The sequence below is a fragment of the Homo sapiens genome, chromosome 16, assembly GCF_000001405.40.
Source record: "Homo sapiens chromosome 16, GRCh38.p14 Primary Assembly".
Lineage (NCBI taxonomy): Eukaryota > Metazoa > Chordata > Mammalia > Primates > Hominidae > Homo > Homo sapiens.
In genome coordinates, this window is record NC_000016.10 from 50832083 (window position 1) to 50856396 (window position 24314).

Here is a 24314-nt window from a genome sequence, read left to right on the forward strand (position 1 = left end):
CCCAGGTAATTCATAGCCTCCATAATTCACAAGTTCTTTCTCCATGAGGTGGTAAGTGGCAATTTTATATTCTTGGAATGCCACATACCTATAATGATAGTAATTTTTTTCAGCAATGTTTCTGACATTTTTACAGAGCATGCACTTCTAAATTAGTGACACACCATGGTGATGTTTGGCCTTCTTCAGAATAACTTTATCCTTTCCCTTCTCTGGCCCAGAGCTATTGATTTTTAGGTGGTTATTTTATTTTATTCTTTTTTTTTTTTTTGAGACGGAGTGTCTCTCTGTCACCCAGGCTGGAGTGCAGTGGCACAATCTTGGCTCACTGCAACCTCTGCCTCCTGGGTTCAAGCGATTCTCCTACCTCAGCCTCCCGAATAGCTGAGATTACAGGTGTGTGCCACCACACCTGGCTAATTTTTTGTACTTTTAGTAGAGACAGGGTTCCACTGTGTTAGCCAGGATGGTCTCCATCTCCTGACCTTGTGATCCACCCACCTCGGCATCCCAAAGTGCTGGGAGCCACTGCGCCTGGCCTATTTTATTCCTTTTCTTAGCACAAACTCTAGCACAACCACGACCCTTGAATCAATGCTTGGATAATGTTCCTAGAAGATTACAAAATATTTTGAATCACAAGATCAGTTAATGTTAAAGATAATATGCACTAGTCACCAAAGATACTGTTGGAAGTTGTGATAGGGGAACAATAGCATGGGTCACACAATAATGACAAAGGACAGCACGTCCTTCTTTTCACCAGCTAGAGGCATTGCCATGTTGCACTTGGAAATGCAGTTTCAACTCACCAGCCTACCAGTTTGAAAGTTATGGAATTCTTGATGAGTTGCCAAGTTATGCAATTCTTGATGAGTTGTCAATCCCCCCATTTGGGAGGATTTCACATTTTGTATGTAACATGAGGACATTATTATTTTTATATTACGTAGTTTCAAAATCACATCATTCAAATGCACATGTGGTGTTGTGTTCTAATACTTTTCTGGATTTGTCTTTTACATTTAGCTTCTTAATCCAGTAGGAACTTACTTTTATATATGATGTGAGGTAGGGATCCAACGTTTTCTTTCTGTTTTCCAATGGAACTCCAGATGTCACAATCTCATGTATCGGAAACACCATAATTTTCTTGATTTTTCCTATAAATAGCCTTCCATTCTAGACTTTCTATTCTGCTTCTTTGATTTCTTTGCCTGGTCTTATCAGCTTCATGTTCTTGTATCCACTTAATGGTCTCTTTTAAAATTTGGTAGAATATGCAAACACTTGTTTTTCTTTTTCAAATTTTTCTTGTCTATTCTCTTGAATTTTCTTTTTCAAATGAATTTTAGTGTCGACTTGCCCAGTTTCATAAAAAATCCTGTAGGGATAGTGGTTGGGATGGTATTGAATTTATAGTTTAATTTGAGGGGATTTGACATTTTTACAATATTGAGTGTTTCCATCCAGGTGTTTGGTTATGCCTTTCCATTTATTCAGGTCTTCTTTTATGTCCCACAGTAAATTTTTATAGTTTTCTTCACATAGGTCCTGAACGTTTCTTGGTAGGTTTATTCCTAGGTATTTTATATATATTTTTTGTTTTCATTGTGAATGAGACTAGAGGGTTTCTGGGATTGTACTTACATCATAACAGGATTGTTTATGCGTGGAGAAAAAGAAATGTTTCTTGCTCCTGAATGAAGGTGCCTGTACCTCACTGTGGCAAATCAGTGGATAAAACTGATTGCAGATGCGGGTTCCCTTTTTTTACTGTGCAATCCTTCAGTTTTGACCTGGACCTGGAGCTAAATGCTGCTGCAGTCTCCTGTTTGGGTATGGGGGTGGGTGTCGGCTCCATTGGTTCCAATGAAAACCAATTCTGAACACAGTTATTTTGCTAATTTCTCTGCCAATCGCTCCACCCCCTCCTCTTTGTATTTGTTTACTCTGAACCCAAGTACCCTGGATCTTCTCTTACTTCCTCAGTAGCTCTGGCCATAGTGGTTGGCTGTGGTTTCCGCCAATCCTGCCAACCCAGTCCCATCTGCTTTCCATCTTCCAGGAATTGCAGACAAGTTCTTGTTTTTCCACATGTGGTTATAGATTCATTTTGTCTTTTAAATATGGCTTTTCTTTTGAGGAATTGGGGCAGGAGGACAGGTAGCTGGCTAGGCCTGTGTTGTCCTCCTGAGTCTATCATCTTGTGTACTCATTTTTCTTAAGTCAGGAGAGTCTTAGCCATGTTTCCATGGTGATGTGGTGGCCAGTAGGGGAAAAGGGAGGTTGAAGATGCAGAGAAGAGGTGACAATGGCTGCAGCGAAGTCCCTGGGAGAACATGAGGACTTGAAGTTCAGGTGGTGGGCTAGCTTAGGACAGGCAGGACAGGTCAAGAGCAGGCATAGGTGTAGGTGTGTTCCCAGGTTTGGTGGCAGGAAATGAACTGTGCTTCCATTTGTTCCTTCTGTGTTCCCTGTGAGATGGAACTTGAGGTTGTCATAGGCAGAAGGAGAGAGTTGAAGAGTAGAGCCAAGGAGCTCTAGAGAGGGGAGGATGTTTGAGATCACCCCTGTGAAGAGTGTGACAGAGAGCCACTTACGGACACAGAGGCTTCCTGGGTCACCCTGAGGCCACCCCTAGGATCAGATGCCCAGCCCAGAGAGGCTGCCCTGGCCAGTCCGGAAATACTCTTAGAAGAGTGCTGGTTGGGATGTGGAGAAGCTTGACAAGGTTCTGATTAACCTTTTCTACTGGGGATTCTCTTCACAAGGCCCAAGTGGACCAGAACTCAGCGGGCTGGGTTCAAGTCCTCATGGGGCCGCTTAGCAGCTGTGGGATGCTGGGAAGCCATGGCCCTCTCTAAGCCTCTTGTTCTCTCCTTTACTGAGGCAGTGGGGGCATTGACCTCATGGGGCAGCTATGAATAATTTACTGTGAACAACACTGGGACATGGCAGGGGGAGAATGTTGAAAAATTTGGTGGGGGCATTGTTATGAACTGGGCGGGGATACTTACGCCCTTATCATTTATTTTTACGTATCGAAAAACATTACTCGTAAAATCTAGAAAGAGAGTGATTGAGATGGGTAATACCATCACCCTCTGGCTAAGCTATGAAGCTGCCTCTTTTTTCCACCACACTTTGGGGGCCCTTTCCCCCAGTGCCTTGGTGTCCCCTCAATGCCAGCACATCCAATTTCTCTTCCGTCCTCTGCTCACAGATATGGATCTGGTATCAGTCATCTACATCTTAGGGGCAGTTTCTTAGACACTTGGGGGTCTGGAGGGGACACAGAAGCTCTTACTACTGATATTGCAAACCACTCTCCCATCCCCAAGCATCCAGTTTTGACATGGAAACCTCTTGAGGCCAGGTTGTTTTGCAAGGTAAGCCCAGAACACTCAAGCCCAAGCAGAAGACCACGCTCCTTTGAAACTGCATTTCTGCCATTTGGTTGTGGGATTGTTCAGGGGTGGTGTTTGAGATTGGGCGCCTTCTCCCTGCAGGCTCACCAGGCAACCACGGATTCCACTTGCCCCTGAATTAGATGGGTTGCTGGGGGTGCCCAGGCTTATCCCTGTGTGCCCACCTTGACAGGTAAGCTGTGACAGGGCCTCTCTGCTTTGGGCATAACTAACTTTATCCATAGAAGTTCTCAAGCATTGCTGGCTGTATCTGTACCTCACTCCTAGAAAGCAGGAGCTGCTCAAATACAAGTTGGTGTAATCACAGGGAAAGCCGAGCTTTGGCCGGCACGATCTGAAGTTTCTGCTGCCTGGGCCGTCAGCTCAGAGCCGGTGCTGTTTGTCAGCACCAAGCTCAACCACTGAGTGGGACTTTCTGGAGCATCCCAAGAGAAAAGTGAGACTTCAGTAGAGGACACAGAAACCTGTGCCCAGTGGGGGCAATCGGGAAACTTCAATGTGTGACTCGTTCTTTTCCAAAATTCCTCTTTTCCCCTTATTTAATTTTTTTTTCAGAAAAACGTGTGATTTTATATGCTTTTCTCTGCATGTATTAAACAAATTGCACAGCTGAATAGCTTTTCTTAAAACCTGGACATTCACCAAAAAGAAGTTTGCCAGCACAGACAATTAAGCTTTCTTCTTTGAACAATGGAGTGACTGACTGGCACATTTGAAATGCAAGCGTGTTTTTTTATTCCACTGTTCATCCTTCAAGCTGATAAACAGCAACAATGGGAAACAGCTGGGACAGGAAAACATTTGAGTTTGTATTTTCAAAGCAAGCAAGAAAGAAACCCGTCAGTGTGGGCCAGATCCCGTCTTCCGCCTGAGGGCGAGCCGGCATTTGGGGAGGGAAAAAAATACTATACATATTTCTAATCAAACATTACATATTTATTAATGTGCAGCTGGTGCATTGTATTCCGAGGGTTGGTGGTGGGAGTGTCTCTCCCCCCACCCCCACGCCACCCGCCTTGTTCCTCTAATGTGTCTTGCCTGGCAGGCTGGTATTGTTCTGTAACTGACATTACTTTATAAGAATCAGAGCTGCGCACATTTAATAGGAGTTATGGAGACAATTGCTCTCTGAGCGGTTGGGGTCTCTGTGACGTAGGTGCCATCTGAGCCTCAGTTTCTGTTCTGGGAGTGGACAGAATGGGCAATGGAGGTATTTTTAGGCAGATGTACCTGAGATACTGTTGATGGGGAAGCCCCCAGCACCTTCACTGCCACCCCTACACCACAGCCTGGGTCCCATCCATGAAGGCCATGGCTCCTGCCCACATGTCTGTGCTCTCTCTAAACGTGGGAACAAATTTATTTTGATGCTTATTGAGATTAAACTTGCTGCGCATTTCATCGGGAACAGGGGTTGGATCTGTTCATTAGGTGGGGAGGCTCACCTTGTCAATTTCCATTGAGCACTGGCAAAAGCGACCACTTTATCATCATTTGTCAGCAGCCTCGACAGGTTTTACTCAGCTCTGATTCCTCCTGGGCCCTGCTGTCATAACTTCATTGGCTTTATGGTAGCAGCTGAGTTCCCTTAGGTAATTGTCTAATAGATCTATTTTGCCTTAATATTGGTAATTCACTAAATGTAAAAGAACGCAGAAGAGAGGCTGAAACATTAAACACCAGACATGCCACACACTCCTGCAACAACCCCAGCCCCACCCTAAACTACTGTCTCCATCCATCTTTGGAAATCCCATTATATTTAGTAGGAGGGGATTGGTCTTTTTCAGCTTTGAAAAATTGGAGCTGAGACTTCAGCCTCCCTCTGGTCTTATGGGCCAAAGGAATTTAACATGGGATCGTGGAAAGGGCTCTGGGCCAGGGCTCAGGGGCATGTGGCTCCTGGGGCCCAGGGCTGGCAGCACCTTTTTCCTTTTTGGGCCTCAGTCTTCCTATCTGTTTATCAGCAGGATGCCAAGGTTCTCACCCTCAGGATCACATGGGGGCCAAGCAGCAATGGAGATGGGCTAGTGAGCTGGATGGGGACGGTGGCAAGCTGGAGGGCACATGCCTCTCTGCCTGGAGGGGCAGCCACTACAGGTTGCCTTGGGCCAATGCAGGCCTGGTGGACCCAGAGGCTTAAGTTTTAATTTTATTTTACTATATTTTTCTTTTCCTGTTTTTATTTGGTTTGTTTGTTTGTTTTTTGTTTTGAGACATGATCTCACTCTGTTGCCCAGACTGGAGTGCAGTGGTTCGATCACAGCTTACTGCAGCAATTGTAGTCCCTCTGGGCTCAAGCAATCCCACGACCTTAGCCTCTGAGTAGCTGGGACTACAGGTGCGTGCCACCATACCCAACCTTTTTTTTTTTTTTTTTTTTTTTGTAGAGATGGAGTCTTACTATGTTGCCCAGGCTGGTCTTGAACTCTTGGACACAAGTGATCCTCTCTCCTTGGCCTCCCAAAGTGCTGGGATTACAGGCATGAGCCACTGTGCCCCACTGAGGTTTGGATTTTTAAACAAAAACTAGGATTCTAAATTTATATGTCTACTGTTTTAATGTTTTAGTACTGGCACTGAATTTAAAAAAGCATTCTTAATAAAATAAAATGTCTGCTGGCAATGATGAGTTATGGTGATGACAATGGTGATTAATGATAGCTAACATTAGTGAGCGCTCATCATGTATCAGGGTCAGTTTTGGACTGGTTTCATCCTTACAACAATGCTAAAAGACATGTCCTGGTGTTGTCCCTGTTTCACAGGTGAGGAAATGGAAGCACAGTGAGTAACTTGCCCAAGATCACTGTCTTTGCTGCTCAGTTGATTGGGTAATTGACTTCCAGGAAATTAGAGATCTACTGACAAGGTACCCTGGGCCTGCGTGGAAAATATGACATCAAGATAGATTTCCTGGCAAAGGCCAACTTATTACAACATTCCACTTAGAAAAAAAATCTATGCACTTAAAAAAAACCACAGCCAGGCACAGTGGCTCATGCCTATAATCCTAGCAGTTTGGGAGGCTGAGGCAGGAGGATTGCATTAGATCAAGAGTTTGAGACCAGCCTGGGTAACACAGCAAGACTGTCTGTACAAAAAATATTTAAAAAACCAGCCATGCCTGGTGGTGCACACCTGTAGTTCTAGCTACTTGGGAGGCTGAGGTGGGAGGATAGTTGGAGCCCAGGAGTTCGAGGCTTCAGTGAGCTATGACTGCACCATTGCACTCCAGCCTGGGTGACAGAGCGAGACCCTGTCTCAAAAAACAAAAACAAAAAAACCAACACACTTGTTTTCTGGAAGATTTTACCTATATACTACCACTGTCCTTCAGAACCATGGGTTTTCCTTAAGTAGCAGGGAATAACCATGTTGATTACTAAGTCGCAGGCCAGAAGGAAAGAACTTGACTTGGGATTTCCTGAATTTATTACAGCGTACTTTATTTCATAGGCTAAAACTGTGTCTTAGGTTCAATGAACTATGTGAAAACTCTGGCTGGTCCACTCCCCATAACTCAGCCCTTTGGCCTCCTGACTGGACATTTCCCTGAAATATATTAGGTCCAGCTGGGCATGGTGGCTCATGCCTGTAATCCCAGCACTTTAGAAGGCCAAAGCCAGAGGATCACCTGAGTCCAGGAGTTTGAAAACAGTTTGTGCAACATAGTGATACCCTGTCTCTAAAAAGAAAAAAAAATTAGGTCCTTCATAAACATTTGTGGGATGAATGTTTTAATTACAAATTTTAATATAGGGTGTTTTTAACAGGATTTCTTTCTTTCTTTTTTTTCTTTGTTAAACAGTCACTGTGTTTATTTCCTGCCATTATCTCTGGATGTCATTTTTTGCACAGACTGTCACAGACCAACATGATGTGTGCATACATTTACGTGTGGTTCGATATACACATATGCGCCTGCAATGCTTCTGTGTGAGTCAACATACATGTATGCACACACTTACATGTAGCTCAATACACATGTACATGTGCAATGCACACACCAACATGTGGTTTAATATACACGTGTGCATACACTCACATGTGGATCAACACACATGTGCACTCACATGCAACTTAACACACACAAGCACACTTACCTGTGGTAGAACACACACATGTAAATCCTTGCATATGGCTTAACACACGTGGGCAATGTGCACATTTACACATAGTCCAGCCTATACATGTGCACATGCTTACATGTGATTTGATATGTATGGGTGTATATACTTCATTTGGTTCAGATATACCTGCAGGGTGGGGATTTTATTGTATCCCTGAGTGATTCCTGTCCCAGGCTTAGCAGTGATGAAATGAGTTTCTCTCACCCTAGCACCAGGGAGAAGGATAGGGAGGTATTTCTCTTCCTCACTTGAGCCAGGATCTGCGGCTGTCCCAGTGAATGTTTGACATTGGCCGATACTCAGCATTACCAGGAGGTGGTGGACGATGTTCACTGGTTGGCATCACCATTCCGGGGGAGAACCCTTCGACTGTGCACCGTTCTATGCATAGAGTTCGTCATGGAAGTCCAGTTCCAACATTGCTGATGGGCCAATGAAGGGAGGTGGGGTTTTCTGGGCTGCGAGGTTTTCTGGGCTGCAATGTGGAGGTCAGCCACACAGTGAGCCAGCATCCCGTGTGTACAGCATGTGTACATGCATACAACGCAGTGGATGCTGACGAGGGTGTGCAGGCCAGTGTAGGATGGCTCTGGGATGGAAGGAGCATCTCTCATGCACCTGTGCAGGTGCAACGTGTCCTCTGCTGGCTTGACGTGGACGCTCCCCAGTACCAGAGAATGGCAGCAGCTTTGTGCCCCTGCAAGCCCTGATTCGAGAGGAGGCTGGAGGCGTGCTGTCTCCGGCTGAGGATGGAGGTATCTCCCTAGGGGAAGCAGGGAGTGGTCAGCACCTTGGGGAATGGGAGCTATTAACCTTTCAACCTGGCTTGCATTTCTTTCCAGGATGTCCTGTCTTCTTGTAAAGGAAGTGGCAGATCTTCAGGCAGGGGGCAGCAGATTCTGTTAGACTAAGACTGTGGCAGTAGGCAGGGTGGGAGCAGGAGGTCCTGTCCCTCAAACCCACTACAGATGCAAGGGTAGAAAGATCAAAGGGGGTGCAGTTGAGGAGAGGGGAATGGTCACCCCAGAAGATAACTGAGTAAAATAATAATAATTGTTGATAATGTCATCCCAGCCCTTACTATATACCCATTTCTGTGATAGGTGCTTTTCATAGATAATTTCTAAGCCTGCCAATGACTCTTTGAGTTGATATCTTTAATATCTGGGCACATTTCTCCATTAATGTAACCAAGAAATTAAATCAATCTATGCGAAGGTCCATGGCATGTATGTGCGGACTCTGTTTTGGAAGCCAGGGCTATATGACTCCACAGCCCTTTTCTGTCCCCAGAAGACCACCACCTCCAGTCCCCCGCGTCATTTCAGGACCTGCCACTCTGGTGTCCTGGTTCTTAAGGCTGGTGGAAAAGTAAGCTGGGTTCAGGGACCAGCCTGTCTTGCTCAGGACCTCCAAGGAGGCCAGAGCTGTTTCTCCCGTTTGGAGAGGGAGATCCTAGCCTTTCTCAATACTTTTTGATTTCTGGGAAAGGAGAAGTTGGAAGGCCGCCTCGCCTCCTGTCTCGGTGGCGTTCAAGGTTATCCAGACAGCGGTCTGCGGGTTTCATTTGCAAGTCACTGCGCGGCGCATGCAGAAGCAGCCGCGGGCCGGCGGGGCGCGCAGATAAGGTCTGGGGGCGTGGGTTTCGGGCTGTACCTGCATTATCGCGGCTTCCTTAAGCTCGGATGAATATGTAAATCTCTCGCTGCAGCCTTCCGGTGCCGCAGTCGCAGCCGTGGGGGCCGCCTCCGCTGTAGCAATTCCGAGGGTAAAATTGATTAATATTTGTTTTCAAAATGACACGCGGTGATGTATGGGCCCTGTTACAACTTAAATTAATACTTTAAAGAGATGAATGGTCTCTACCGAGGGTGTTAAAGTTCAAGCCCAGGGAATTTGCATATTTATATTACAGCCAACTGATAGTAATTGTGGGAACGGCCTGTAATGCTGTTCGTTTGTCATTTTCAGCGGGGTGTGCTTCTGCCGGGGACCTCATTAACTCAGAAGGCCTCAGCCCCTCAGCCCTGCAGGACACGGGCTGGCGGCCCGGCGCCCAGGGCTTGTGGTCAGGGCACCGTCCTGCCTTGTGGGCTTCTGGAGGCTGAGTGCCTTCAGGCCTGGCCACCTGGCTTGGGAGGTGAAGACAGGTGCCCCGAGCCTGCCGACCTCACCTCCTGCTCGGCTGTAAATCCCTTCCTAATGTAGCCAGAATCCCTTCTTACTATGTGTGATGCCAACCACCATCTGAGCCACCTTCGAGTCACTTATGGCCATACTTCCCTCTTAGCTAAAGTTCTCCCAGAAGTACATCTTCAGACAAGTTTCCCCCAAGTGCTTTCTCCCGGAGGTGGTCCCAGGAAGCAGTGGTAGAGGAGAGAAGGACCGCACACGGGGTACGTCACCAAGCAGGTGACAGCTGTGGGCAACTGGGGTGCAGTCCTGCTAGGGATCCTGGGGCGGCACTGTGGGGCACACTTTGGGATTGTCCCACCTGGAGGTGGGGAAGCTGCGGTCTTCTCTTCAACTCCATTTGTCATTGGCTGAGGGCTGTTCCCTGGGGGTGTTAATTCCCAGCACCTCCTGCTGCCTGAGAACCTGCTGCAAAAGCCCGGGGGTGGAGAGTCCCGGATGCTGCTACCGGGCCGATGGCCTGTGCGGGATGACGGGTGGTGGGGAAGGCCAGCATCTCCTAGCGGGCCTCTCGGTGTCCGCCATCCCCACTTGTCCTCCACTCAATAGCCAGGCTGATCCTTTAGAAACAGGAGTCAGGCCAGGTCACTCTTCCGCTCAAAACTCTTCCCTGGCTTCCTCTTTCTCTTTGGAGTAAAAACCAAATTCCTTGCCATGGCCGGCGAGGCCCCTGTGGTCTGGCTCGGCCTTCCTCACCGACCTCGCCTCCCCCTCCATCCCTCTCTCTTCCTCCCCTGCGTCCACAGCAGCCTCCTTGCAGTTCCCCTAACACTCCAGCCAAGCTGCTGCCTCAGAGCCTTTGCTTCCACTCTCCTCTTTCTCCGGAACCTGCCTCTGCCTCCCAGTCACTGGACATGACTCAGTCTCTCACTTCTACTCAACAGTCACCTTCTCAGTGATACTTCCCCTAACCTCTGCGGTTATGATTTCATCCCCTACCCTGCACCCCACAGTGCGTGCATCTCCTCTGCCCTGCTCACTGTCCAACAGATGACATATTGATTTATCTTGTTTATTGTTTGTCTCTCCCTCTGGAATTTGAGCTCTGTGAGGGCAGGGACTTGTATTTTCACTGCTATGTCCCCAGCACTGAGCACAGTCCCTGGAGTGTCACAGACACGCAGTAAATCTGTGTTGAATGAATAAATGAATGAATGAAGGTGGGCCCAGTAGTGACTGTGTGGTGGCTTCCACTGCCTGGGTGTGATGGCCAGGGTCAGGCCAGGTGAGGAGACCCAGCAGACAGGACCAGCTTCATGTGAGTGTGACCCATGCAGGCCCCATGCTTAGTTTAATGTCCTTAATTAAATGTAACTGTCTTGAACTTTTTTAGAGACTGTATTTTTAGAGCAGTTTTAGGTTTCAACAAAACAGAGCAGAAGGTACAGAGATTTCCCGTATACACCCCACCCTACACATGCACTGCCTCCCCCATTAGCATCCCCATCAGAGGGGTCCATTTGTGTCAGTGAACCTACATTGGTTCATCATTATCACCGGACTCCATAGTTTACATGAGGTTCACTCTGGGTGTTATACATTCTATGAGTTTGGACAAATATATAATGACATGCATTCATCATTATAACATACAGAAGAGTTTCACTGCCCTAAAAATACTGTGCTCTGCATATTCACCCCTCCCTACCCCAACTCCTGACAATCACTGACCTCTTTACTCTCTCCACAGTTTTGCCGTTTCCAGTATGTCGTAGAGTTGAAATCATACCATATGGAGCCTGTTCAGATGGGCTTCTTTCAGTTAGTCACATGCGTTTAAAGTTTCTCCATGTTGTTTTATGGCTTGGTAAGTCATTTCTTTTTAGTGCTGAGTAATATTCTGTTGTCTGGATGTACCATGGTTTATTTATCCATTCGCTACTGACAGACACCCGGATTGCTTCCAAGTTTTGGCAATTATGAATGAAGCTGGTATAAACATCTGTGTGCAGGTTTTGGGACAGACATAAGTTTTCAGCTTTTTTTGGTAAATACCAAGGAGTACAATTGATTGTTGTATGGTAATGGTATGCTTAGTTTTCTAAGAAACTGCCAGACTGTCTCCCACAGTGCCTGGACACTTTATATTCCCAATAGCAATGAAGGAGAGTCCCTATTGACTCCATCCTCACCAGTATTTGGTGCTATCACTGTTCTGGATTTTGGCCATTCCAACAGGCACATAGTGGTATCTCATAGTTTTAATTTGCATTTCCCTGATGACATAAGATGCGGAGCATCTTTTCATAGGCTAGTTGCCATCTGTGTATCTTCTTTGACGAGGTGTCTTTCAGAGTCTTTGGCTAATTTTTTAATTGAATTGTTCATTTCTTATTTTTGAGTTTTAAGAGTCCTTTGCATATTTGGGATACTAGTCTTTTATCAGACGTGTCTTTTTCAAACATTTTCTCCAAGTCAGTGGCTTGCCTTCTTATTCTCTTGACAGTTGTCTTGAAATTTTTAACAATTTTAGAATAAAGGACTTTGCATTTTCATTTTGCACTGGGCCTCACAAATTATTAGCCAGTCTAGCATGCAAGGTTACTAGAGGTTAGTTCATTCTGTGGCTGTGCTAAGCATTGGGTCTGGGAAGAAACTTTGCAAGGAATTTCTAGCTAGTGCTGCCACTAGTGATAGTAGTCTCCCTCTTAGAGGTGTTTGGGGGGACAGAAGAGCCCATTGCCAACAATCTCAGAATGTGTGCCATCTGCTACCTGCCATGTGGTGAAAGTGAAGTTGCTTTATTTCTCATGTGCATGCACCTCCCAAAAGCCTAGGTGGGCAGACTCATGGACACACACATTTTTTTTTGGTTTATTTTGCAAAATTTAATTGCAAAATTAGCTGCAGTTTTCTACCCTGCTCTCCCTCCAGGGCAGTGTGACTTTGCAACTTTTCCCATCAAGAAGTGGAATCTGTTTATTTTTCCACCACTTGAACTGAGTTGTTTTGGCCAACAGAATACATTAGAAGTGATATGTGCCCGTTCCCAGCTCTCTCCTTTGTGAACTTTGTCTTCATCTTGAGAACAAGCCTGGGCTAGCTTGCTAGAGGATCAGAGACCCTGTGGAGCAGAGAAGAGTCAGCAAAGGCGTCCTAGCCAGAGTGAGATCAGTAAAGCCATCAGCACTACTGCAGCTGACCACAGATGCCTCATGGAGTCCTATTGTGCCTGGCTTAGATTAAAGAACTGCCCGTTTGACCTGTAGTCTTGTGTACAATAATAAATAGTTGTTAGATAAGCCACCGAATTGGGGCCAGTTTGCTATAAATCATTATTGTGGCAATAGATAATTGATGTGCGGCTCCTACTTCGCTAACCACTTGTTTGCACATGAGCACATGGCCACATATTTGCACATCTATACTGAACCAGCTCAGACCCCCAGTGGATTTTGTGGGTACAGAAGGGGGCCAGAGGAGCAGAGGGAGACTGGGTCTCACCCTCATGCTTGGTGGTAGAAGAAATCAAGTCTAAGGGGAAGAAACATGGAGTACGTGTAGGTCTGTGTGCTGTTGGCCTCTGCCTTGCTTGCCTTGGGGTCCTCTGGATGTGGGGAGAAGGAGAGGTTGCTTCTTGCTTGAGGGGCTGGGAATTAGTTCACCTTGAGGAGCGTGTGGTGTCACTGGGCACAGGGGGCTATGCATTGTTGAGGCAGGGGCTCCAATCTCTCCCTTGAAGATTCAAGGAGGGGAAAGATAGCCCCAGGTTTGAAAAAACTGGTGGGAAGTGGGAAGGAAAAGACATGGCCCTGCACCCAGAGCAGTTCCATGAGCAGTTTCATGGGAGCAGGAGTCTGTGACAAGTGACAAGGTCTGAGCTGGTGGTCACATCACTGAGAACTGTCTAGGGCCAACCTGTACAGGATGAGCCAGTTTTCAAAGGGGAGGCTGGAAGATGAGGGCTACCCAGCCCAAGTCACCAACTGGGTGGTGGGCACAACACTCACACACACTCATATACACACACTCACAAACACACACATACACACACAAAGCATAAGCAGGACAGAAGGCAGATAGCACTTTTAGTTTAAAAATATATTTTTTTGGGGAAAAATTTCAAGTCTATCTGAAGTTGCAAGGATAGTACAATGAATGCCCAGCTACAATTACCTAGATTCAACAATTGTTAGCATTTTGTCACATTTCTTTCTGTCTCTTTCTACATGTGTATATTATTGTTATGATGATTGCTGATGCCTTTGAGAGAAAGTACAAATATCATGGCCCTTCACACCTACACACTTCAGAGGATATCTGAGAACAGCACTTTCTCTTAGGTATCACAGTATAATGATCAAACTTAGGAAAGTTAACACTGACTTTATTGTTATCTAATGTAGTGTTCATATTCAAATTTTGCCAATTATTTCAGTAAAGACCTCTAAGGCATTTTCCTCCCAAATATAGACATATATTTGAGACAGGGTCTCACTCTCTTGCCCAGGCTGGAGTGCAGTGGTGTGATCATAGCTCACTGCAGCCTTGAACTTTTGGGCTCAAGTGATCCTCCTGCCTTAGCTTACTGAGTAGCTGGCAGGTACCACCACACCCCATTAATTACCTTTTTTTTTTTTTTTTTGTAGAGACAGGGTCTTGCTATCTTGAGCAGGCTGGATCCACCCCCAGCCCAGATATAACATGCAGCTGAGAGCCAAGAGTGGCATTCACACCCCTTTCACCTGGAACAGTGCCTGAGCCCCCACCCATGTCCTGCTCTCCCCTTTGTCATTCACAACTTTGGAATTGCTAGTGGTTCAGGGAAGTTGCTTTGTTGGATGTTCCTCCACCTGGATCTGTCTGATAGTTTCCTTGTGATTATATTCAGGGAATGCACTTTTGGCAGAATGCTGGACGCATCTTTTGTGAGAACATCCTTTAAGATGGCGGAGTGTGTGTCCTGGCCATGGTGAGGCTTTCTGACCTCTGGCTCCAATTTACCTCTCCAGATTACCTTCCTGCCCTGAGGCCAAGAGGTCTTCTTCTCCTGAGTCCATCTGATAGAGTGACATGGGTCTGGAGCTTAAGTCCTGGGCTCAAATTCCAGCTGTAACACTTGCTCTGTGGTCTTGGGTACATTACATAATGTTGAGTACATTGGACCTCCATTTGCTTAACTGCATGATGGGGATAATAGTCCCTGCCTCCTATGATTGTTATCTGAATGAAATAAACTAATTTATGTAACATATTTGGGTGGTACCTGAAGTAGCAAATATATATGATAGCTATTAATGCAGTTTATTAAATATTTCTGGCTTCCTGACTTGCACAAATGTGGTAGAATTGCACTTTTTACTCTCCTTGAAGCTAGGGGAATGGTACTAGCCCTGGCCAATGAATTATTTGCAGAAATTATGGAAGTCATTTCCTAGACCAGATTATTTAACTGCAGGTATAAGATACCCCCTGATTTCTCTTTCTTTGTGGCAAAGTGACCATCAGCTTTTGAGATGGTGGCTGCTTCACTTGCCCTGGTCTTTGAGTAACTATAATGGGCAGCGTTTCCTCCCACCCTTCCTCCAGTGCCAACCTGCAATGAACAAGTAGCATGAGCAAGAAATAAAACTTGGCTGTTTTAAGCCACGAAAATTGTGGGCTTGTTACTGCAGCATAACCTGGTTTATTCTGCCTCATACAGCACTACAAGAATGTTGGACATTGTTACCATCACTGTCGTTCTTAACATTATCCTTCCTATTTTCTGTGACCATCTTGCTCAAAGCCTTTCTACCATGTTGTGATGATCTGTTCAGGTTCTACCTCCTCTTCCCATCCCTTACTGTGAGTTCTTTAAGCACAGGATCCATGTCTCTCTCTCTCTCTGTCTCTCTCTCTCCTTTTAAATTAGAGACAGGTTCTTTCTTTGTCACCCAGGCTGGAGTGCAGTGGTGTGATTGCTCATTGAAACCTCGAACTCCTGGGCTTAAGTGATCCTTCCACCTCAGCCTCCTGAGTAGCTGGTTCTATAGGAGGTGTGCACCACCACGCCTGGCTGGTTTTTTTTTTTTTTTTTTGGTTGTCGTTGTTGTTTTTGAGACAGGATCTCACTATGCTTCCCAGGCTGGTCTTGAACTCCTGGACTCAAGCAATCCTTCTGCCTTGGCCTTCCATAGTGTTGGGATACAGGCATGAGCCACTGTGCTCAGCCTCTTTTTGTCTCTGGAATCCTAAAACCCCATCATAGGGCCAGTCACAGACTTGATGGTCCATGCTCAGTAAGTGATTGTTTAAATGTCACTGGAGAAATCTGAGTTATAACTTCTTAAATGGCTTGGCTTTGATTTCAGCATTTTTAATTGTGCAAACAATATCATAGCAACAGCCATAAAAATAAAAGGCAAAAAAAAAGTCATTTGCAATTCCCCTAAAATTAAGGCCTTGTCCCATGCTTTTGTGTCTGTCTTCCCGAATGTATGTTTTGCAGTTGCATTTTCAGCCAGACGGCATTTTGTATCCTGTCTTTTTCTCCACTTCAAATACTACCAGGGCCAGGCATGATGGCTCACGCCTATAATCCCAGCACTTTGGGAGGCTGAGGTGGGGGAATCACTCGAGCCTAGGAGTTTGAGACCAGTCTGGGCAACACAGTGAGACCCCATCTCTAAAAATAATACTTTCAAGAGGACACATTTCTATCAAATACGTAAGACCTTTATTTTAGAGGCTGCGTATATTCCATGGGGTAGATGCACCCCTGATGGCTTAGAGGGGCTCTGACTTTTTGGACATTTGAATGTTTTCCAATTCTTTGCTGCTTCAGCCAACACTGCTGTGAATATCTGTTCATCAGGTGTTTTCACTGACCCCATACCTCTTCAGGAAGGATGGATCTCAAGACACTCTCAGAACTCCCACTTTGAATACAACATTCTAGTGTATCATGTCTCCTTCCCCCATCTCCCATGCTCAAGGAGAAAAATATTAGGGGGTCGTCTAAGTGCTGCTTCCATCACTAAAAGATTTAATCTTGTTATTAAAATAAGCTCTGTCACTTTTAAACTTTGCCTAAAGTTTTCCTTTTTATTTGATGAGTTATCTGCTCATATTTGGAGCCCTTTCTGAAACAGTCTCATGATTTGCTTTTCCCTGTTTCCATTTCAAGCGATGTGGACATAACATTGCTCAAGCCCAGGTTAACATCGGTTGTAGCTTTTAATTTATCCCATTGTTTACTTTCTTAAACTGCTTCTCTTTGTATTCCTTCTTGTATTCTCTTTGTTCCTACCAACAGCATTAGCAGTTGGCATTCTTTCTTGGGACTTTTTGTCATGGAGAAACAAGCTTTCAACTTTTCACGAGAATGGTCCTGTATAGGTAAATGAGTATTGAACAACCAAGACAGGTGGAGTCCTGGAGTTGGTGGGAGGTCCACTCTGCTCCCTCCAAACTGGGTGGCACAGGAGGCCTCTTTGTACCTCACTCAAATGGCAAATCAGCCACTTCATTGATCGCTCCAGTAGGAGGTGGTGTGTGGTGCCTCCCTGAAAGTTCAGAGCAGAGCATGTGTCTGGGAGGAAAGGTCAAAGCTCCTGTCCATGGCCCCTGTGCAACTGTGAGTGCCGTAAGCTTAGGGCCCACATCTGTCCTGCTGTGTGTTGCCAGGACCCAGCTCAGGGCCTGGCTTAGAGCAGATGCCCAGTGATTGATTGTTGAGTGAATCAGCGACTGATAGGAGAAGACTTCCAGGAAGAGCAGGCATCTGCACTGGGTCTTGTCAGGTGGAGTCTATGGAAGGGAGTGGGGAGGGAGGATGAAGACAGAAAGGGATTTCAGTAGGGCCTTGTTCAGCACATAGCACAGATTGTGTGTGTGTGTGTGCATGCGTGCACATGCGTGTGCATGGCTTGGCTTCAGTTCCACTTGGGGTTGGGTAGAGAAGTCATTCATTAATTCATTCAACAAATGTATTTAGCCCAACAAATGTTGGGAAAACCAACATTATCTCCTTTCAGTTCTCACCATGTGTCATGTACTGTGCCAGGGCACAGTTATTACAGGGCCTTCCTTGACAGTGAGAAGGGTCAGGCGTTGCCAAATCCAAGGTCATGAATATTTACTCCTATGTTTTCTTCTTAGAGTTTTATAGTTTTAGCTCTTACATTGAGGTCTTTGATCCATTTTCAGTTAATTTTTTTTGGGAGGGGGACGGAGTCTCGCTCTGTCACTGAGGCTGGAATGCAGTGGCACTATCTTGGCTCACTGCAACCTCTGCCTCCTGGGTTCCAGCGATTCTCCTGCCTCAGCCTCCCGAGTATCTGGGATTACAGGTGCCCACCACCATGCCCAGCTGATTTTTTTGTATTTTTAGTAGAGATAGGGCTTAACTATGTCGGCCAGGCTGATCTCGAACTCCTGACCTCAGGTGATCTGCCTGCCCCGGCCTCCCAAAGTGCTGGGATTACAGGTGTGAGCCACTGCACCCGGCCTAAATTTTTATATATAGTGTGAGGTAAGTGTCCGACTTCCCTCTTTTTTATGTAGATATCTAGTTGTCCCGGTACCATTTATTGAAAAGACTGTTCTTTCCCCATTGGATGGTATTGGCACCCTTATTAAAAATCAGTTGACCATAGATGTATAAGTTTACTTATAGATTCTCAATTCTCTTCCATTGATCTATATGTCTGTCCTTATACCAGGACCACACTGTCCTTGATTACTGTTGCTTGTAATAAGTTTTGAAGTCAGGAAGTGTGAGTCTACCTTCTTTCTTCTTTTCCAAGATTGTTTCAGCTGTCTGTGGTCCTTTGAAATTCTATATGAAGTTTAGAATCCCCTTGTCAATTTCTATAAAGAAGTTTTCCGGGATTCTGAAGGGGACTGTGTTGAATCTGTAGATCAGTTTGGGGAGTATCATCATCTAAATAGTGTTAAGTCTTCTGATCATGAACATGGGATGTTTTCCAAATTATTTAGATCTCCTTTAATTTCTTTCAACAATGTTTTGTAGTTTTCAGGTACAAATCCTGTGCTGCTTTTGTTACATTCATTCCGAAGCATTTTATTCTTTTTGGTGCTGTTGTTAATACAATTGTTTTTAAAATGTCATTTATTAAATTGTTCTTTACAAGTGCAACACAAATTGATTTTTATGTATTGATCTTATGTCCTGCAACTTGCTGAATTCATTTATTCATTTTAATAGCTTTTTAGTGAATTCCTTAGGATTTTCTGTATACAAGATCATGTCATCTGTGCATAGAGGTAGCTTTACTTTTTCATTTCCATTCTGAATGTTTTCTATTTCTTTTACATCTAATGCCCTGGCGAAAAACTCCAGTACAATGTTGAATAGAAGTATTGAAAGCAGAAATCCTTGTCTGGTTCCTGATCTTAGGGGAAAGCATACTGTCTTTCACCATTAAGTATGACATTAACTGTGGATTTTTGGGCAGATGCCCTATAACAGGTTGAGGGAGTTTCCTTCCATTCTTAGTCTCTCGAGTGTTTTTTATCATGAAAGAGTGTTGGATTTTGTTAAGTGGATTTCCTGTGTTATTTGAGAGGATCTTGTGATTTTTGTTTTTTATTCTATTATATGATGTATTGTGTTAATTGATTTTCAGATGCTGAAAATCAACTTAGCATTCCTGAATACATCCCACTTGACCATGGTATATAATTTTTCTTATATGTTGTGTACTTGGTTTGCTAATACTTTTGTTGGAGATTTTTACATGCATACTTGTAAGACATATTGGTCTGTAGTTTTTTTTTCTTGTGATATTCCCTCTGCCTATAATCTTCCTAGAATTCCCCCCAGAGTTCAGATCAACCATCTAGGCTCCCATGTGCTACAATAGCCTGGGCCAAATTACCAGCTGCCCCCACTGGGAAGAGCACCAAAGCATCTTTGCAAACATCTACCCAAGTGTCTGGGGAGGCAGGACTGACTGGCATTGGCTGACTATTGGGTCTTTTTACATGTATTCTCTCATTTGACCCTCTCAGCAACTTGTGAATGTAGTCATGTATGCCCATGGTACTGGTGGGGAAGCTGTACATGATAGATCCATGGACTGCTCCGAGAACCAAGGCTTTTGATGATATCTCACTATACAACAAATCTGTAGTCAGTTTTATTTCAGTTTATTGTTATTTCAGAGAATAATGTAACAAACATCCCTACTCGCACCATTCAGCCATTAACATTTCTCATATTTGCTTTCAGTATTTTTTTCTTCAGTGAAATAAGGTATTATGAATAAAGCTGAAGGTCATTTAACTACTCTCCTGCTCCAATTCTGTAGAGACCATGATTCTTCCATTTTGGTGGTTATCCTTCTAGATAGACCATTTTTCTACTTTTATATATGTAAATATGTGTTTAAAATAGCAGACACTATTTTGTGCATTTATGTTCTCCATAATTTTTATTTCATGCACACAAATATTTACATATCTTTATGAATTTGGAGTTTTTAGGTTGTTGTTTCTTTTACAAAAATGGATCATTTTGTACATACTTTTCTGCTTTTTGCTTTTCTTACTCATCAGTATCTTGAGGAAATTCCCTATTGTTTGGCATAGCTCTAATACATTCTTCTTAGTGTCTGTATAACATTCATATTATCCATCCATTTGCCTTTTGATAGGCATCTCCTAATCTGGTGAACAACTGTATGACAAGCACATATCTATTCCCAGGTACCAGGGTTTTAATTTTTATAAGATACATTTCCAAGAGAGAGAGTTTCAAGTCAAAGGATATATGTATTTTTACATTCTAATGGCTGTTGCTGGAATGCATTCCAAAAAGCCTAAAATACTTCCCATTTACCCTGGTTTTGAACAAGGGTACTCATTTTCCCACATCTCCTTGGCAGTAGATGTTACTTAATATTTTTGCCAGTCTGGCAGATGAAAAATGATATCTCACTGTTATTTCAATTTGTATAGCCCTGAATTTGAACATCTTTTCATGCGCTTTTTGACCTTTTGAATTTGGTTTTCTGTGATTTGCTAATTCCTGTCCTTATCTCAATTTAAAATTAAAAAATAATTCTTCTATTGGTAACAGTTCATTAATATATTATAAATATTAACCTTTTTTCTTTGTATTGCACATATTTTCTTGACTCTTTTATGGTCTAAATTGACCGTGTGATCTGATGCTGTATAAAAGTTTTAATTTTTATATTATAAATTTTTTTGATCATAGAAAAATTATTTTTCTTCTGAGCTTTCAGGTTTTTCTAAGAAAATCACCTATATTTATTCTTGAAATTGTTGAAAAGACCAATGGAGTAGTATGCTGCTGGCTTTGTTATGTAAAACTGTAGTGATTCATTTTGGTGTGTAAGGGCCAATTCAAGGAGGAGGAGGATGATAATTCACTCAGTAAATATTTATTCATGCTTTACTATTAATGAGGTTCCTCGTATAAGCACAATATATGTATTAGTTCATTGATTTCTCATAACACTCTGTGAGGTGGATGCCATTATTACTTATTTCCAATTTATAAATAGGAACACTGAAGCACAGAGAGGTTAAGGAACTTTCTTAATATTGCAAAGCCATAAGTGGCAGAGCTCCCTCTCTCTACAACCCATACTCATAACCACTGGGTGTTTAGTTAAAGAGGAGGGTGGGGGTCTGCACAGTCTCAGAAACAGGCTCTGACAAAAGAAAAACAGGCTGTCGATGGAAACAGAAACCAAAAGGGTGGTTGGTATGGGCTCATCAGAAAGGGCTGCACTTACAGGGGATGAAAGCTCTACCTAGGATGGGGATCTTGCTAACCACAGATTGACATCTACCCCATGTTATGTACAGCTCCTGGTTTTATGGGCCCAGAGGCAGGGCTGGTGATCAGGGGCACTCCATGTGCCATGTTGTCAGCTTGATCAATATCACTGTCTTGGATGGCTGGCAACCCATACTCTACCTACTTGTGATGGTTAACTTTATATGTCAACTTGACTGGGCTATGGGGTGCCTAGATATTCGGTCAAACATTATTCTGGATACTTCTGTGAGGGTGTTTCTTGAGGAGATTAACATTTAAATTGGTAGACTGACTACAGCCATCTGGCCTCTATAAATGTAGATGGGCCTCATCCAATCAGTTGAAGAACGGAATAGAAATAAAGGCTGATCCTCTGCCAAATAAGGAAGAATTGTCCAGCAGACTGCCTAACGACTTCATCGGCACCACTGGCTGCACCTGCCGGCCCACACTGCAGATTTGGACTTGCCCATCTCCATAATTGCATGAGACAATTCCTTACAATAAATTACTTTATCTATCTACACACTCACACACACACACACACACACACACACACACTATTGCTTCTTTCTCTGGAGAGCCCTGACTAATACACTGCTGAACTGAAGATATTTGCTATGCTCCTTAGGTGGTGTGCATGGAACAGGCTCTAGTTCTAATGGGAAGACCATCTGTAAAGTTTCTTTTCTGCTAGGCAGGGGCTACTAGTTTGTAAAGGCAAAGACTTTTTTTGGGCAGCAGCATGACAGATTTGGATTAGACATTGCGAAAAACTTCCAGGAGGTGAAAAGTACTATGGCACATTCAAAGGGAAGAGTAAAAGGAATTCTGTTTGTTTGTGGTTGAGGGCATGAGGGCAAGAGGACAGAGGGATGACTGAAATGATCTTTTTAGAGCTTTTCTGGTTTTGGGGAATGATCCAGGAGGCAGCAATTGTTGCCCCTAATAATGTGACCACCTAGAAAGCGTCATGTTTTCATTCCCCATACTCAAGAATGAACACTCCTGCTAAGTTGCAAAGATGCTGAGGGGTTCCCAGGGTCATGATTAGATGGGATTACCAGGCTTGGGCTGGGCCTCCTGGGATGTGGACAGTGAGATGGACAGTTGCAGCCTCAACCCTCTGGTGGGCTGTTCTGTACAGCATGCATATTCTCAGGAGAGAAAAAAGGAAGGGGAGAGAGTTTTTTATTTTTCATGTGAGAACTCCACTCCAGGCCTGGGTAGGTGCTTTTCTTACAGTGAGATGTTTTTTTAATTTTTATTGTATTTATTTATTTATTTTTGAGATGGAGTCTTACCCTGTCACCAGGCTGGAGTTCAATGGTGCGGTCTCAGCTCACTGCAACCTCCGCCTCCCGGGTTCAAGCGATTCTCCTGCGTCAGCCTCCCGAGTAGCTGGGACTACAGGCGTGTGCCACCACACCTGGCTAATTTTTGTATTTTTAGTAGAGATGGGGTTTTGCTATGTTGGCCAGGCTTGTCATGAACTCCTGACCTTGTGATCCACCTGCCTCGGCCTTCCAAAGTGCTGGGATTACAGGCGTCAGTCACCGCGCCCAGCCTACAGTGAGAATGTTAATCCTCATATTATCTCTTTGAAGTGGGGGTTGCTTTGAAAAATACACATTGGTTTATATGATTATTGCAAATTTAATGCTTGTTCCTTATAAGATGGTTAGAGAGCACATAGGTATATAAAGTAAAAAGTGGAATTCCTGCCTCCTGTTCCATGCCCCTACCCCTTATAGTGACTATCTTGAGTAATGTTGAAGGCATCCTTTTCAACTTTCTACAAGTACAAACAATATGTGCACATAAGGGTTTTAAAAAATAGTGTGGGAGAATAGACATAACATACAATTTACTATTTTTACCATTACTGCCATCCTTCTCCAGAACTTTTTCATCTTCCCCAACTGAAACTCTATTTCCATTAAATAATAACTCCCCATTCCCCTCTCTCCCAGCCCCTGGCAACAACCATTACTTTCTATATCTATGAATCTGATTACTCTCAGTACCTCCTGTAAGTGGAATCATATAATATTTGTCCTTTTATGTCTGGCTTATTAACTTGGCATAATGTTTTCGAAATTCATCCATATTATTGCATGTATCAGAATTTTATTCCTTTATAGGGCTGAATAATATTCGATTGTCTGGATATACCACATTTTAAAAAACCCATTCATTCATCAATGGACATTTGAGTTGTTTCCACCTTTTGGCTACTGTAATAAAAAGCTACATGAGCTTTTATAAGGGCTCATGTGCTTAGATAGGGCCCACCTGTTTAATCCAGGCTGCCCTCCCCACCTCAAAGTCCACAGCCTAAATTCCATCTGCCAGTTCTGCTTGCCATGCTGCTGTGAACATAGGGGTATTAGATATCCGTTTGAATTCCTGCTTTCAATTCTTTTGGGTATAAGCCCAGAAGTGGAATGAATAAATCCACATAATTCTATGTTTTATATCTTTAGAACCTATGTAGCATATTCTACAGTAGCCAAACCATTTCTCATTGTCACTAGCAAGGTGCAAAGGTTCTAATTTCTCCAATGCTTGTTATTTTCTACTTTTTTGATAAGAGCTATCCTAATGAGTGTGAAGTGGTATCTCATTGTGGCAACAAAGGGTTTTCATTTCACAAAATGGAATTGTATGGTGTACGTTGGTCATCAATCCTTCACTTAAAAAGTCCAGCCTGGTGCCTTTTTATAGCAGCACATACAAGTTGCCTCTTTTATGGTCCATACTCTTGTTTTACAGGTGAAGAAACTGTGGCTTGGTGATTTCAGAGGACACAGCAGTTCC

The 24314-nt window shown here is 44.0% G+C and overlaps 1 long non-coding RNA gene across 4 annotated transcripts in view, besides 1 other annotated feature; it reads left to right on the top strand.

The window, feature by feature from the left end:
* Window positions 3699-5105: an enhancer, noted in NCBI's record as "VISTA enhancer hs162". NCBI's record gives its function as "enhancer in: eye[4/8]" and the evidence as "EXISTENCE:transgenic organism evidence [ECO:0001131][PMID:17130149]".
* Window positions 7974-24314, top strand: part of LINC02128 (long intergenic non-protein coding RNA 2128) — a 61006-nt gene continuing 44665 nt past the window's right edge. For 2 of the 4 annotated variants that reach the window (NR_184285.1, NR_184286.1), the window contains exon 1: window positions 7974-8319. This is a non-coding gene — a long non-coding RNA (long intergenic non-protein coding RNA 2128). Of the gene's footprint in view, window positions 8320-9129; window positions 9333-11447; window positions 11565-24314 lie in introns of those variants that run through there. The other 2 variants (NR_184287.1, NR_184288.1) reach the window with 2 other exon arrangements.